General features: G+C 52.5%; 1 non-coding gene across 1 annotated transcript; it reads right to left on the bottom strand.

Moving 5' to 3' along the window:
• Nucleotides 1-5,751: 5,751 nt before the first annotated feature.
• Nucleotides 5,752-5,831, bottom strand: MIR4283-2 (microRNA 4283-2). The gene has a single exon (NR_036270.1). It is a non-coding gene; the product is annotated as a microRNA 4283-2 (primary transcript).
• Nucleotides 5,832-16,995: the final 11,164 nt, after the last annotated feature.

The following is a 16,995-nucleotide window of genomic DNA, read 5'->3' as shown; positions in this document are numbered from 1 at the left end:
TCCTCTTCCCTCCCCTCTCCTCCATCTTCCCCCTCCTCCCCTCTGCTCCCATCTCCTTTCTTCCTTTCTCCCTCCCCCCACCCTTCCATCCAGCTGGGCTGTGCAGGGGACAGGCCCAGGCTGAGGCTGAAATCAGGATCCCCAACACACCAGGGTGTGGCATGGTGGCCCCGGGAGACCCAGGTGACCTGCGGCTGACCCAGCCCACCACCCCCGCTGCCCACCCCTCAGCCTTGGTGCCCAGGCAGCGCCCCCTAAACAGGTCCACTCGCCTGGGAGGCCAGCAACGCCGCCAGTGGGTGGGTAGGTTCAGTCACGAGGCCACTGGGTGACCAGATTGAAAGTTTTGAAGGATGGGTAGGAGTTCACGTGCTGGAGAAGGTGCAGAGAGCGAGTCCAGCCAGGAGTGGGGGCTGTGGCCGACCCTCAGTCATGCCCTGCCCTCACTTGGTTCCTACCTCCACCCGCTCCCTTTCTCCTCCCAGCTTGGGATCAGAACTGGCTAGGTTGCTTCCCATGACTCCCTTTGCCTGGAAGCCTCTGTTTTTCTCCCAGGTGAATGGAATCATGACCCCGCCCTATTCTCCCTCTACTCACCTGTAGCCTGGCTCTAGGGCAGACAGCAGAGCCCAGGGGGCCCAGGCATAGAACATCAGCCAGCCCTGGGGGGCTGCGAGTGTTACTGGCTGGGAGAAGGGTCCAGCCTCAAGGTGAAATCAGGAACCAGGTGGGAATCACACCTGTCCTGGGTCCCTGTGGGGGCCTGTCTATGGGGATCAGGAGAGACCCTCCAGGTCCGAGCCACCAGGTGGGATGGATACAGGTGCCTGCCCAGACTCCTACCGGAGGCCCTTCCTTCACTTTCCACCAGATCAGCTCCTTCTCCCCCTTAAGCAACATCTCCATTGTCAGCGCTCCAGGGAGCCCCCAGGGTTTCTTCTGCCCCACCACCAATGGGGTCAGCACCTTTGCTCCAGGCCTTGCCCATCCCTTCTAAAGGACTGGGAGCCCCCTGAAAGTAGAGACCTGCTTTCATTCTCTTTGGATCCTCAGTGCTCAGTGAGGCATACAGAGGCTGGCATACAGCAGGAGCCAAATATTTGCTTGAAGGGCAGACTGCATTGGGAGCTGAATAAGGAAGTGTTGAGTGAAGTGACTCCACTCACCTGGGAGCCTCCGTTTTCTCCCAGGTGAATGGAATCACCTGGTGGCGGGGGCTGCTGACACACTTTTAGGGCGGGACACCCCTCTCCTTCCTCTGCTGCTGTCTAGGTGGAGGTGGGGGGTGCCACTGCAGGGGGGCCCAGTCCATTGCTGCAACTAGTTAATCTTAAAGTTCATGACGGCTGGGCGCGGTGGCTCACACCTATAATCCCAGCACATTGGGAGGCCAAGGTGGGCTGATCACCTGAGGTCAGGAGCTCGAGACCAGCCTGGCCAACGTGGTGAAACCCCGTCTCTACTAAAAATACAAAAATTAGCTGGGTGTGGTCGTGGGCACCTGTAATCCCAGCTACCCAGGAGGCTGAGGCGGGAGAATTGATTGAACCCAGGAGGCGGAGCTTGCAGTGAGTCGAGATGGCTCCACTGCACTCCAGCCTGGGTGACAAGAGCGAAACTCCATCTGGAAAAAATAAAATAAAATAATAAAAATAAAGTTCACGAGCTCCAGTGCTTCCTGTAAGCCTAGAGCTTTCAACGGGGATTCTTGCCTTGTCCTGGATGTGGAGGGGGGGTTCCAGATAAGAATTATTTGGTGGGCCAGGTGCAGCGGCTCACGCCTATAAGCCCAGCACTTTGAGAGGCCAAGGCGAGAGGATGGCTTGAGCCCAGGAGTTTGAGATCAGCCTAGGCAACACAGAGAGACTCTATCTCTACAAAAAAAAGAAAAAAAAGCGAAAATAAGCTGGGCATGGTGGTGTGTGCCTGTAATCCCAGCTACTCGGGGGGCTGAGGCGGGAGGATTGTGTTAGCCTGGGAGGTGGAGGCTGCAGTGAGCTGTGATCGTGCCACTGCACCCCAGCCTGGACAATAGAGCAAAGCCCTGTCTCTAAAAATAAATAAGTAAATCAATAATAAAAACGTTATTAGGTGCATGTGAGACATTTTCTAGATGCAGGAGACGCATCAAGGGTCCCTGCTCCCCTGGAGTTGCACTTAAATGGTGGGTGCTGGCAATAAACAAGTACAGTAATTTCGGAAGCATCAAATGCTTGGAAGACTAGATGGGGATGGAGCAGGCACCAGCATGTGACTAGGGGACAGGGCTGGGCTTTGGTATCCAGGTGGTCTGAGAAGGCAATATCTGAATTGAGAGATTTGAATGATGGAAATGTTAGTGGGAAGGGTGTTCCCAGCATAGGGAACAGCCAGTGCAAAGTGCTGAGTCTGGAAACAGCTCATTTAATTCAAGAACAGAAGGAGGGCCACTGTTGTGGGAACAGGGGCAGTGGGGAGAAGGGAGGTGAGGTTGGAGAAGGGAAACAGCCAAGGGGGGGTCTTGTTGGCCATGGTGAGGGGTTGGAATCCCTGGAGCAATGCTTTTTTGTTGTTGTTGTTGTTGTTGTTTGAGACAGAGTCTCTCTCTGCCACCCAGGCTGGAGTGCAGTGGTGCGATCTTAGCTCACTGCAATCTATGCCTCCCCAGTTCAAGCGATTCTCCTGCCTCAACCTCCCGAGTAGCTGGGATTACAGGCACCCACCACCACGCCTAGTTAATTTTTGTATTTTTAGTAGAGACAGGGTTTCACCGCTGGTCTCAAACTCCTGACCTCAGGTGATCCGCCCGCCTTGGTCTCCCAAAGTGCTGGGATTACAGGCGTGAGCCACCACGCCCGCCACAAGGCTTTTTTTTTTTTTCCAGGTCTCCCCATTGCTGGGTTGCTGGTGGGAGTGAAAATGGGACCAACCCTTTTGGAACATAAACTGGCTTAAAAGACATGCTTACCTTTTGGTCCAGAAAAATCTGGCCTGAGGAAATATTTCTAAATGCAGAAAAGTTTTTATATACAAAGACGTTCGTCATAAGAGCCAAACACTGCAAATGGTCCCCTTGGCCAAGACGAGTCCCCGATTTACGTTGCTCGCCATGGGGAACAGATGACATGATTGTTATATTTGAAAAACCCAGAGCAATCAGTGAAATAATATGTAACCCTGCAGAGAAATCTGAAGTCACCACCAGGCTATGCAGTTAAGAAGATTTAGAATAAGATGGAAAACTGGCAGCATGACAGCGTTAGGGGATACAGAAACAGCAAAGGGAAATACAAAAGATGCCTTCCACTGTGTGCAAAATAAAAAAAAAAAAGGAAAAAACTGGGTAAAATGATTTTCTGGTAAACTATAAATAAGCAGAAATGCTGTTATCAGAAAGAAAGAAATCTAAACAGAACGATGGAAAGGGCATGGGGAAATTTGTTAAAGAATTTCTACTTTCCTGCTGGCCGCAGTGGCTCACACCTGCAATCCCAGCACTTTGGGAGGCCAAGGAGGGCGGATCACTTTGAGCTCAGGAGTTTGAGACCAGCCTGGGCAACACAGTGAAACCCCGTCTCTACTAAAAATACAAAAATTAGCTGGGCGTGGTGGTGCTTGCCTGTAATCCCAGCTGCTTAGGAGGCTGAGGCAGGAGAATTGCTTGAACCTGGGAGGCGGAGGTTGCACTGAGCTGAGATCTTACCACTGCACTCCAGCCTGGGAGACAGAGTGAGACTCCGTCTCAAAAAAAAAAAAAAAAGAAAGAAAGAAATTTATGGATTTCACTGTTTATCAGTTTTGCCTAAAAACAAAACTAAACAAAGCCCATACCACATTTTGACCTCTAGCTAACGATATGCATGTTTAAGGGCCAAGTGCCCCAATGTCTGCCACTGACTTTGAAATGCATGGAAATTTGGAATTGGCAGGTAGATGGGGAGCTAGATAGATGTATAGGTAGGGATCAGAAAAACCAGAGAGCAGAATGCGGGCAGTGAGCACGTGAGTGTTCACTGTATAATTCTTTCCACTTTTTAAAAAATAGAGATGAGGTCTCACTGTGTTGCCCTGGCTGGTCTCAAACTCCTGGCCTCAAGTGATCCTCACACCTCAGCCTCTCCCTCCCAAAGTGCTGGGATTACAGGGTGAGCTGCCACCTCCTGGCCGCCTTCTTCTTTTTTTTTTTTTAGATGGAGTCTTGCTCTGTCACCCAGGCTGGAGTGCAGTGGTGCGATCTCGGTTCACTGTAACCTCCGCCTCCTGGGTTCAAGCGATTCTCCTTCCTCAGCCTCCTGAATAGCTGTGATTGTAGGTGCATGCCACCACACCTGGCTAATTTTTGTGTTTTTAGTAGAGACGGGGTTTTGCCATGTTGGCCAAGCTGGTCTCGAACTCCTGACCTCAGGTGTTCCACCCACCTCGGCCTCCCAAAGCACTGGGATTACAGGTGCGAGCCACTGCACCCGGCCCTTTTTTAAAAAATAGAGATGGGGTTCTTGCTATGTAATCTAGACTAGTCTTAAGCTCCTGGCCCCAAGCGATCCTCCCGCCTCAGCTTCCCAAAATGCTAAGATTATAGGTGTGAGCCACCATGCTCAGCTTCCACTGTTTTTTATGTTTAAAAATTTCATAGTAAGGTGAGGCAGGAGGATTGCTTGAGGCCAGGAGTTCGAGACCAGCCTGGGCAACATACTGAGACCCTTATCTCTAAAAAATTTTTAAAAATTATCTGGGCATGGTGGTCCACTCCTGTAGTCCCAGCTACTCAGGCAGCTGAGGTGAGAGGATTGCTTGAGCCCAGGAGGCGGAGGCTGCAGTAAGCTGTGATCCCACCACTGCACACCAGCCTGGGAGACAAAGCAAGACCCCATCTCTTTAAAATAAAACATAATAAAATGTGTGGGGGGAGGAGAGGCCGGGCACAGTGGCTCAGCCTGTAATCCCAGCGCTTTGGGAGGCCAAGGCAGGTGGATCACCTGAGGTCGGGAGTTCCAGACCAGTCTAGCCCATAATATGGTGAAACCCCGCCTCTACTAAAAATACAAAAATCAGCAGGGTGTGGTGGCGGGTGCCTGTAATCCCAGCTACTTGGGAGCATGAGGCAGGAGAGTCACTTGAACCCGGGAGGCAGAGGTTGCTGTGAGCCGAGATCATACCTCTTTACTCCAGCCTGAGTGGCAGAGCAAGACTCCGTCTCAAAAAAAAAAAAAAAAGTTGGGGGAAGGAGAGAAAAATAGAGAGCCCAGTGGGGCAACCCCCCACCCAGCCCTTGCCACCTGCCACTGCTCCAGCCGGGCTGTTCCAGGCCAGGAAGCTATGCCATCTGCTTCTGGCAGAGATCAAACTTAATTCGTTCCCAGCTTGTTAACTTAAAGCCCATTAGAATCTTTCCCGTCAATCCGTACACGCAGTGGAGATCAGACAGAGATGGGGTGAAGGGCCCTGCTCAGGACACGGTTCCCTGGGGAGGCAGAAGGAGAGGGGGCTGGCTGGCTGGGCTTTCAGGGGACGAGAGCCTCCCACCTCCTTAGTCTCCCTGGGTGCAGGGAGTGGCTTTCATAGAAGTCAGCTCCTCTCATTCGCACAGGGACCTGGGTACCAGTGAACCACCTTTTGCAGACCAGGGAGCCAGCTGGTGAGTGGTGAGGCAGGGGTCCCACTGAGGAATGGTGGGTCTGATAGCATGACACCAGACATCATCATGGTGACACATTACTGCATTTCTGCTCTCAGCAATTCCAAGACAGGGTCAGGACTGGGCCACCTTATGGTGGGCCCAAGGACCAAGGCTGGCAAGCCTGACCATGGACAGAAACACCCCTTGCAAACTCGCTGAGCCCCAGGATCAGAGTCCCTGGGCCGTTCTGTGTCAGCCCCATGTCTGCCTTTGCCGGGACAGGACACCACCTGCTTCCCCTGCATTCAGGCACCATGGAGTCAAACTTGCAAGAGAAAACGAGACCCACGGCCAGGCGTGGTGGCTCATGCTTGTAATCTCAGGACTTTGGGAGGCCGAGGTGGGTGGATCACCTGAGGTCAGGAGTTTGAGACCAGCCTGGCCAACGTGGCGAAACCCCATCCCTACCAAAAATACAAAAATTAGCCAGGCATGGTGGTGCGTGCCTGTAATCCCAGGTACTTGGGAGGCTGAGGCAGGAGAATCGCTTGTACACAGGAGGCGGAGGTTGCAGTGAGCCGAGATCATGCCACTGCACTTCAGCCCAGGTGATGGAGCAAGACTCCGTCTCCAAAAAAAAGAAAGAAAAAAAGAAAACGAGACCCAACCATCTGGGCCAAACAAGCAAATTCAATCAACAAATTAAGCCCCATGATCCTCTCTGGAGAGGGCAAGGCAGCCTGTGTGCGCTGAACGGCAGGGCTCTGCAGGAACAGGGAGGGGCTGGCGCTCACCGCACCAGCTATGCGCCAGGCTCTGGGCTAAGAGTGTCCTCTGCTCAGAACCTCACAGTGACTACAGGAGGGGAGACATCCCAGACAGATGGGAAGCCCAGGCTCAGAGAGGTAGAGGAGCTCACCCAAGTCACACAGTGAGGCCAGGCAGATTCTGGTTCCTCCCCAGGCCCCGGTCCCTCCCCAGCCCGCGGTCCCATCAGCCCTGCCCGGTTAAGCTGCCCCACTGGACGCCCCCACTCTCATTCCAGGCCCCTCTTCCTGAAGACCAGAGAGGTGCGCCCCAGGCCAGGCTTCTGGGACTGGGGCCCCAAGCCATAGGTGGCCTCCTGGAGCTTCATCCCCCAGGACACCCCAGGCCGGAGAGGTGCGGTAAAGTCTTTCTGGGACTGTGGGCAGCAGCTGGAGGCAGGCCCAGGACAGGAGGAGCCTCCTGGCCCAGCTCCAGGAGCTGTCGGCTAGAAGGAGCACTTCATTATCAGCTGGGCTGCTGTGAAGGAGGTTATGGGGAAGGGAGGCCCAAGGGACCCGAGGTCAGCCTGGAGTCCCCTTTCCAGCCGGCTCCAAACCCCTCCATGCAGCTGGGCACCCCAGGCCCTGCCTGAGCCTATGAGGTGCCTCCCCACCCAACCCCCACTGGAAGCACCAGCCATACCCAATCATGCCCATGCATCTGTAAGGTGTAAGGACTAGTGTTGCCTCCTCCAGGAAGCCTTCCCTGACTGCTGCATGGTAGGAGTGACTCTGAGCACCCTGAGCACACATCATCTCATGGAATCCTCCCTGTGACCTCTGTGGGAGGCTCAAGGGAATGAGGCCCAGAGAAGTGAAGGCAGCTGCCCAAGGCCACCCGGTGTGGAAGCTTGAATCAGCTCCTCTCTGGGCCTCGTGACAGGGCTGGGTACTGAGGAGGACCTGATAAGTGTTGTTGAAAGAATTCTGTCAAAAGGGCTGGGTGAAGGGACTACTGTTGGGGACGGAGGGGCAGGGATGCTGCCCAGGGTGCAGCCGCCACCCTGTTGACCCCAGATGAAGGCAGGAAGGATGGCTAGATTCCCACAGATTCATCCAGTCCCTGAGCACCTACATAATAGCTCCTGTTTTACGCCTTTGGCATTAACGTGCCCATTTCACAGATGAGAAAACTGATGCCAGAGGGCCTGAGGCCAGTGCAAGATTCCCAGCCGGGCTCCAAGGGAGCACAGAGCCAAGACCTGAACCAGGTCTGCCTGGGCCCCGAGCCACTGTCCTTCCCACGACCCCAGGTCAGCCAAGGATCCTGGCCTTACCTGGGCCTTACCTAGTTCTTACCTGGGACTTTCCTATGCTCCTTCTAAGGCCTCTCCCCGTGGCATCAGCGTCTGCCCGGCATACACACTACTCGGAGGAGCCTTTGTACTCTCTATTTACAAGAGGAGGCTGTGAGCAAATTAGCAGGGTAACCAGGGAAAATGTTTGGCGTCCGTGGGTGAGAGTTGGAGCCATCTGTTGCCAAGTGCTGGGAAAACACCGGAGCACTCCCTGGAGCCGTGGTGCCCGGCAGAGCTCCAGGAAGTGGGACCAGGCACCTGCAGGCTGTGTGTCCTGGGGCAGGGTGCTCACCCTCTCTGGGCCTCAGTGTCTGGATCCGTAAAACCTGCGGGTCTGTCCAGCCTCGTGATTCCAGGATGCTCCCTGTCTCCTTTCCCCTCCTGCCCCTCTGCTCCTGGGCTCCGTACATCCTTTCTGTGCCCCCACCCTGAGACCAAGCCCTTCCTGGGAAGGAAGGCTGGCGGCCTCCACTGTGACGACAGCACCCGCCTGCCCAGCACCGGCATTGGGGGTTTATTTACCATTGGACGCATTTGTTCCCAAGCTGAAAATAGCTTTATTGTTCCCTCTAAAGACAAAGATAATATTTCACCAATCCAGAAATGTATGCTGTAGAAAAGTAAACCGAGAGAGAGCGCCTCCCCGCCTATGCCGGGCACCTGTCCCTGAGAGCAGCGGCCCAGGCCCTGCCAAGCAGCTGGTCACACAGTGGGCCATACACAGGGTGGGATCCTTGACTGGGGTATTTCAGAGACAGAGAGATAAAAAGGGGCAGCGGGGGCTGGGTGTGTTGGCTCGTGCCCGTAATCCCAGCACTTTGGGAGGCCGAGGTAGGCGGATCACCTGAGGTCAGGAGTTCGAGACCAGCCTGACCAACATGGTGAAACCCCATCTCTACTAAAAATACAAAAATTAGTCGGGCGTGGTGGCAGGTGCCTGTAATCCAAGCTACTCAGGAGGCTGAGGCAGGAGAATCCCTTGAACCTGGGAGGCGGAGGTTGGGGTAAGCTGAGATCACGCCATTGTACTCCAGCCTCGGTGACAAAGCAAGACTCTGTCTCAAAAAAACAAAAAAAGAGGTAGATGGGGGGGAGGGAGAGAGAGGGAGGGAGAGATAGGAAAAGAGAGTGGGGGTGTGAGAGAGAGGGAGAGACAGAGGGAGACAGGAGCGAAAGGGAGAGAGAAGTGGAGGGGCAGAAAGAGAGGGAGACAGGGAAAAAGAGATTACTCCTCCCCACCTGGGACTCTTCAGCTCCTCATCAGTGTCCCTGGAGGCTGGGCCTCAGGGGTGGCTCCTTGGGGACAGGTGTCCTTTCCCCCACCTTGCCCTTCTTCCCTAGTCAGGACAGAAGAAGAGTTTCTAGTCTGAGTCTTACCGCCTCCTAACCGTGTGACCTAAGACAAGCGCCTTCGTCTTGCCGAGCCTCAGTGGCCTCAGCTGTAACGTGGGGTAACCATGGCACAGGATAACTGTGAGTTACATGGACCACGTGTGGCAGTCCCTGAGCCTAGGCTGGCACTGAATTGGTGTCCAGCGGCCATTTGCCGTGGCCAATAGGATCAATAAAACGCCTGGGGTATCTGGCCGCTCGGTGGAAATTGACCCACGCAGGGCCTTTGCTGGCCACACCGGGCCCCTTGGTGAGGCTGGGGCATGTCACCTTGTCCATGAGTGGACGTGGACATGGACGTGGGCTCCTTCGCTGGAGGGAACAGCTCTGTGCTGTCCTGGAACTGCTCCCAGCAGCTCCAGAGAGCCGATTAGCACATTTTCAAGAAATATTGCGAGAAGGTTGTTAAACTCAGCCACTGTTTATTTTATTTTATTTATTTTTTATTTTATGATGGAGTCTCGCTCTGTCGCCAGGCTGGAGTGCAGTGGTGCGATCTCGGCTCACTGAAACCTCTGCCTCCCCGGTTCAAGTGATTCTCCTGCCTCAGCCTCCTGAGTAGCTGGGACTACGGGTGCGCACCACCACGCCTGGCTAATTTTTGAATTTTTAGTACAGGCGGGGTTTCGCCATGTTGGCCAGGATGGTCTCGATCTCTTGACCACGTGATCTGCCCACCTCAGCCTCCCAAAGTGCTAGGATTACAGGCATGAGCCACCGCGCCTGGCCAGCCATTGTTAAAAATGGAATGAAATAAACATACAAAGGTAATACAAACTCAAAATTCATCACTGTCTAATTATGTGACTAGGGTCTGCATTCTCCGGGTTATTTCCATCCCTGGTACCCTGTAGGATGGAAACGCCAAATGACAGTGTGCTATGCGGCTGCGTTCTCTCCCCAAATCCAAGTCCAGTGATGTCATCTTGGCACCTTGAAATCCACCACGGACGGACCAGTGCCGTGGTTTGCACCTCTTATCCCAGAGCCTCAGGAAGCTGAGGTGGGAGGATGGCTTGAACCCAAGAATTTGAATACAGTCTGGGCAACATGGTGAAACCCCAACTCTACAATAAATATGAAAGTTAGCCGGGCGTGGTGGCGTGCACCTGTAGTCCCAGCTACTTGGGAGGCTGAAGAGGGAGGATTGCTTGAGCCTGGGAGGCAGAGGCTGCAGTGAGCTGAGATTGTACCACTGCACTCTGGCCCCAATGACAAAAGCGAGACCCTATCTCAAATTAAAAAAAAAAGAAACAGAAAAAGAAAAAAAGAAAGATATGAAACAGGAGCTGGGTGCCTGCCTCTAGTCCCAGCTACTCAGGTGAAGGCCGAGTTGGGAAGATTGCTTGAGCCTAGGAGTTTGAATCCAGCCTGGGCAACATAGCAAGACCCTGTCTCTAAAAAAAAAATTAAAAAAAGAAAAGTATGAGACAGAATGTATTTGCCTAGCAGTTTTTCCGCTTGATTTATAACTCTTAGGTATGATGTGTGAGCCTTTCATAATTTGGCCCTCATCCCAGGCCTTGTATATTTAGGGGTAGGTATGACCTCAAGTTCCAGCCTCCATATCTTCTTTTTAGAGACAAGCTCTTGCTCTGTGGCCCTGGCTGGACTGCAGTGGCACAATCATAGCTCGCTGCAGCCTCAAACTCGTGGGTTCAAGTGATTCTCCTGCCTCAGCCTCCCTGAGTAGCTGGGACTACAGGAACATGCCACGATGCCTGTAGTTCCAGCTACACAATTTAAAAATTTTTTTGTAGAGACAGGGTCTTACTATGTTGCCCAGCCCTGTCTCAAACTCCTGAGCTCAAGTGATCCTCCTGCCTCAGCCTTCCAAAGTGCTGGGATTACAGGCAGGAGACACTGCACCCAGCCTCAGACTATGTATCTTTGTTCCTGCTGTTTTGTCTTCTAAAAAACACCAGTCCCCTTGGAAGCCTTCCTGGGCTGTCTGAACACGGCTGTGGTTATTATAATTATGGGCTGTGAGCCTGATGAGGTGGGGATGCGTCCCAAGGTCGAGGCTCCTTGAGGGGGCTTGTCCCAGCCCGCTAAGAGCACGGGTTGGTGAGAGGCGGCTGGTTTGTCCCTGAAGGAGCTTATCTTGGCTGAATTCTCCTAATCCTCTTGCAGGATTAAGGAAACTCAATGCACGTCCCGTTGATAATGCCCTTTAAGGATTTAATAAGCTTTGGGCTTTCCAAGAGAAAGCCTTGGAAGAGGAATTTGAAAAACTTGCCTCAGCTCCAGACTTTGCTTCTCACTCACTGGGTGACCTTGATCTGTGGCTCCGTTTCTCTACCTGCAAAGAAAAGGGGTGAGTGGTGGCCTGTGGTCCCTGTGCTGTTGTGTGTCTTAGGGGAGGGCTGCACACAACAGCTGGGACTACAGGTGCACACCACCACGCCTGGCTAACTTTTGTATTTTTAGTAGGGGGGGCGGTTTCACCATGTTGGCCAGGATGGTCTCAATCTCTTGACCTTGTGATCTGCCGCTTCAGCCTCCCAAAGTGGCTATAATGTGTATTGGTTTGGGAAGCTTCCACCCCACCCGCCCTGGGGGGAGGTAGGGCTGTGAGTCACCAAAGCATCACTGAGGCCAGTCATGGGACAGTATCCATTGGAACACAGAGGTTGGTCAGGGAAGGGCATATGTCTCGAACCTGGCCTGTCAGAGCCTTCCTTAGAACTTTTATGAGGTCTTCCTGGATGGGTTTATTTTATGGCACCTCAATTTGGGGAGATAAGATCAAGCTGCCATAGACACCTGTCCGCCATGTGCCCAGCACCTATGTGCAGAATGAAGTTCATGAAGACAAACAGAACAGCAGATGAAGCCAGAGCCCTGGCAGCGTTACTTGAGACCCTGGATCTAGCCTTACCTGACACCTACTCTGTGGGCCAGTAAATTCCCTTTTTAGCATAAAGCTGTATGAGTGGCATTTCTGCCACTTGGAACTGAAGGAGTGTGGATGTACCTGTTTCCAGGAAGAGGAATCGATGGATTTCATCAAATTCTCCTTGATTCCCCCAAAGACTAAGAAGCCCTGCTATGGTTTGAATGTTTGTCTTCTCCGACACTCATGTTGAAATTTATCCCCAATGTGTCAGTATTGAGAGGTGGGGCCTTTAAGAGCTGATTGGGTCATGCGGGCTCTGCCCTCTCGAATGGAGTAATCCATTCATTAATTATGGGTTATTATGGGAGTGGGATTGGTGGCCTTATAAGAAGAAGAGAGATTTGAGATAGGATGCTCAGCCCTCTCACCATGGGATGCCCTGTGCCTCCCTGGGACTCTGCAGACAGGAGTCCCCACTAGCAAGAAGGTCCTCACCAGACACAGCCCCACAGCCTTGGACTTCCCAGCCTCTAGAACTGTAAGAAATAAATAGTTTTCTTTTTTCTTTTTTTTTTTTTTGAGACGGAGTCTCGCTCTGTCACCCAGGCTGGAGTGCAGTGGCACAATCTGGGCTCACTGCAAGCTCCGCCTCCCAGGTTCATGCCATTCTCCTGCCTCAGCCTCCAGAGTAGCTGGGACTACAGGCGCCCGCCACCACGCCTGGCTAATTTATTGTATTTTTAGTAGAGACGGGGTTTCACTGTGTTAGCCAGGATGGTCTCGATCTCTTGACCTCGTGATCCACCCGCCTCAGCCTCCCAAAGTGCTGGGATTAAAGGCATGAGCCACCGCGCCCCGCCGTTTTCTTTAAAAATTACCCAGCATCAGGTATTCAGTTGTAGCAGTAGCAAATGGACTAAGACAAGCCCTGCGGGAGGTTTCTTCTGGCTCCTGGTGCTCAAATCTCTCAGCAGCCACTGGCCAGTATAACCCGGGAGGGGTCGTCACCAGACTGCAAATTTCATCCTCTGTTTTCCCCCTGCCCTTCTCCACCCTGCTGAGTGCCCTGGGGAGCTGCCCTGTATGAGCCACATCAATGGACTCCCTGCCTCTGTCTTCCAGTGAGATTTGGCTAATGGAAGGAAGACACCAACAGGGGGTTGGAGGGAGCGAGAAAGGGATTCGAAGTCAACCATATCTTCTCCTGACTCCCTCCCCGTGAGGTCACCCTGCCTAGAGTGTTCCTTGACATAGGTCACGGCTTCCCAAGGCCCCTCTCTCTCATTCTAGATTCTGGTGTCTTGGGCCAGGCGTGGTGGCTCACGCCTGTATTTCCCAGCACTTTGGGAGGCCAAGGCAGGCAGATCACTTGAGTTCAGGAGTTTGAGACCAGCCTGGCCAACATGGCAAAACCCGTCTCTACTAAAAATACAAAAATTAGCCAGGCATGGTGGTGCAGGCCTATAATCCCAGCTACTAGGGAGGCTAAGTCAGGAGGATTGCTTAAACCTGGGAGGCAGAGGTTGCAGTGAGCTGAGATCACATCACTGCACTCCAACCTGGGTGACAGAGCGAGACGCCATCTCAAAAAAAAAAAAATACCGACAGGAAATATCTGAAAGGAAGAAATAATTTAACATTTTGTAATGAAAATAAGCAAAGTCTAAAACACTCCTCCTGAGCTCCTTGTAGCAAAAGACAAAGATAGCCTAATGCAGGCCAGGTGTGGTGGCTCATGCCTGTAATCCCAGCACTTTGGGAGGCTGAGGCGGGAGGATCACAAGGTCAGAAGATTGAGACCATCCTGGCTAACATGGTGAAACCCCATCTCTACTGAAAATACAAAAAATTAGCTGGGTGTGATGGCGGGCGCCTGTAGTCCCAGCTACTCGGGAGGCTGAGGCAGGAGAATGGCGTGAACCTGGGAGGCGGAGCTTGTAGTGAGCCGAGATCACGCCACTGCACTCCGGCCTGGGTGAGAATGTGAGGCTCCGTCTCAAAAAAAAAAAAAAAGATTCTGGTGTCTGGTCCTTCCCTACTGGTTTGGGCTTAGGGGCAGCCACAGCTCTTTTTTTTTTTTTTTTTAATTGAGATGGAGTCTTGCTCTGTTGCCAGGCTGGAGTGCAGTGGTGCAATCTTGGCTCGCTGCAACCTCTGCCTCCCTGGTTCAAGCAAGTCTCCTGCCTCAGCCTCCTGAGTAGCTGGGATTACAGGCACATGCCGCCATGCCTGGCTAATTTGTTTTTTTTGTATTTTAGTACAGATGGGGTTTCACCATGTTGCCCAGGCTGATCTCAAACTCCTGAGCTCAGGCAATCCGCCCACCTTGGCCTCCCACAGTGCTAGGATTACAGGCTTGAGCCACTGCGCCCAGCTGGTCACAGCTCTTTTTTCTGCTATCCCAGGTCACCATAGTGCCAGGCGGTTCCTGACCCCCTGTCCTCCCTCGTGTGAACCATCCCTTTGTAAATAACCCTCCTTGAATTACCCTGATCTCAATCTGCTGTTTTCTGTTGAGGTCTCAGAGAGGCGAGAGCCACCAAAAAACTTTATGATCAAATAAAACGTGGTGGCCCCGGGATGACCACGTAGACCCTGGGGTGGAGCAGAAAGGGTACTGAGCTGCCAGGAGACGGGACACACTCAGGGTATTTCTCGGGTGTGCAGAGTCACTCTTGGATACTCTACTTCATCATCAGTAACACGAAAGTTCACCTAAAACAGCACAACATCTCTCTGGTCCTAACTCCTACAGCATCCTTTTTTTTTTTTTTTTTTTTGCCTTGAGGCAGGGTCTTGCTCTGTTTCCCAGGCTGGAATGCAGTGGTACCATAATAGCTCACTGCAGCCTCGAACTCCTGGACTCAAGTGATCCTCCCACCTCAGCCTCCCGAGTATCTGGGACCACAGGTCCATGCCACCACACGCGGCTAATTGTTGTGGGGTTTGTAGAGATGGGCTTTCACCATATTGCCTGGGCTAGTCTCAAACTCCTGCGCTCAAGTGATCATCCTGCTGGGAGGATCCCAAAGTGCTGGGATTACAGGCATGAGCCACCATGCCCGGCCTGAACATCAATTCTTGAGAGCAGCATATTTCATGTTTACAACATTAACTTTATTTTATTTCATTTTTAAGAGTCAGGGTATGGCTGGGCATGGTGGCTCACACCTGTAATTCCAGCACTTTGGGAGGCCGAGGTGAGCAGATCACTTGAGGTCAGGAGTTCAAGACCAGCCTGGCCAACGTAGGGAAACCCCACCTTTACTGAAAATATAAAAATTAGCTGGGTGTGGTGGTGCACATCTGTAATCCCAGCTACTTGGGAGGCTGAGGTATGAGAATTGCTTGAACCCAAGAGGTGGAGGTTGCAGTGAGTTGAGGTCTTGCCACTGCATTCTAGGCTGGGCTACAGAGCTAGACTCTGTCTCCAAAAAAAAAAAAGAGTCAGGGTCTCACTCTTTTGCACAGGCTGGAGTGCAGTGGTGCGATCATAGCTCGCTGCACTGTAGCCTTGACCTCTTGGACTCAAGCTATCCTCCTGCCTCAGCCTCCTGAGTAGCTAACAGGCATGCACCCCCACGCCTGGTTAACTTTTTGTTTTTGTAGAGATGGGGTCTCACTATGTTGCCCAAGCTAAATAACATAAAGAACGTAAGCATCCTCCGGCCTTGGCCTCCCAAAGTGCTGTGATTATAGCCATGAGCCACCCACGCTCGGGCAGAGGGAAGTTCTTAAAAAGGAAGCCTGGTGAGATGAAGCAATGCACACAATATAACATTCCGTGGGAATGCAGAATGCGCGTTGCTTTATGAAATGTGTGTAAAAGTCAGGTTTTGTTGGGTGAAATAAATATGCATATGGGGGAGATTGGGAAAGAACTCTGTCCTTAGCTAAAAGTTCAACTGTGAAGTCTTGGAGCACTTGCCTGTGGAGCTGAGGTGAGTGTGAGAGTCACATTTCACAGGACCCTCCCCACTCCCCCAAGATGTCAAAGGGACTACGTGGAAACTGCTCTGTGGCTCCCAACATCTTGTTCTAAGCGAAGTTTGTCGTTATCCCAGGGATGCCAAAACACTGAGAATTCCTGCCTTCTGCAATACGTGGATTAACTCCCCATGAACTTAATGTTTCCTTTTTTTTTTTTTTTTTTTTGAGATGGAGTTTTGCTCTTGTCGCCCAGGCTGGAGTGCAGTGGTGTGATCTCAGCTCACTGTAACCTCTGCATCCCGGGTTCAAGCAATTCTCCTGCCTCAGCCTCCCGAGTAGTTGGAATTACAAGTGCCCACCACCACGCCTGGCTAATTTTTGTATTTTTAGTAGAGACTGGGTTTTGCTATGTTGGCCAGGCTGGTCTCGAACTCCTGACCTCAAGTGATCCACCCACCTCAGCCTCCCAAAGTGTTGGAAATACAGGTGTGAGCCACTGCGCCTGGCCTTAATTTTTCCTTTTTAGCCAAAGGTTGTGAGTGGTCTGATGGCTTCTGATCCAGTCCCATCTCAGTTTTCTTGGGCTTGTAAGGACATTTAATAATTGATGGGGTGGCTCCCTTCTGAGCCATCAGGAGCGGAGGGCGCTTTGGATTCTGGTGCTTTGACCTGCAGGAGGAAGAGAGTGTCTCTGGGACTTTATCGCCCGGCACCCTGCACTGTATGGCCTTGGGCAAGTCATGCCTCCTCTTGGGGCCTTGGCCATCAAGTCTATGAGATGGGCCATGTTGTCCAGGCTGTTCTCGAACTCCTGACTTCAAGTGATCCTCCCACTTCGCCCTTCCAAAGTGCTGGGATTACAGGCATCAGCCACCACCCACACAGCCACCCACTTTTATCTCCCAGGAGGGCCCAACCCTTCTCCCTTGGTTTCAATATGAAAAATCCCAGGGGAGAATCTGATTGGCCCAACTTGGGTCACATGGTTGCCCGGGGCCAGGAGGGTGGGGCAGCAGGACGGCAGCCATGTGGCTGGGGTTGGGGAGGTGGGGCTCTTCCTGACAAGGGGTGTCTGTCCAGAACAGAGAGCGTCCCAGCTTTTGAGTGATGGAGGGTTGCACTACAGCCTCTAGA

This window comes from Homo sapiens, chromosome 7, assembly GCF_000001405.40.
Source record: "Homo sapiens chromosome 7, GRCh38.p14 Primary Assembly".
NCBI lineage: Eukaryota > Metazoa > Chordata > Mammalia > Primates > Hominidae > Homo > Homo sapiens.
The sequence above is the reverse complement of the archived record's forward strand: the minus strand, read 5'-3'. Positions and strand labels throughout refer to the sequence as shown.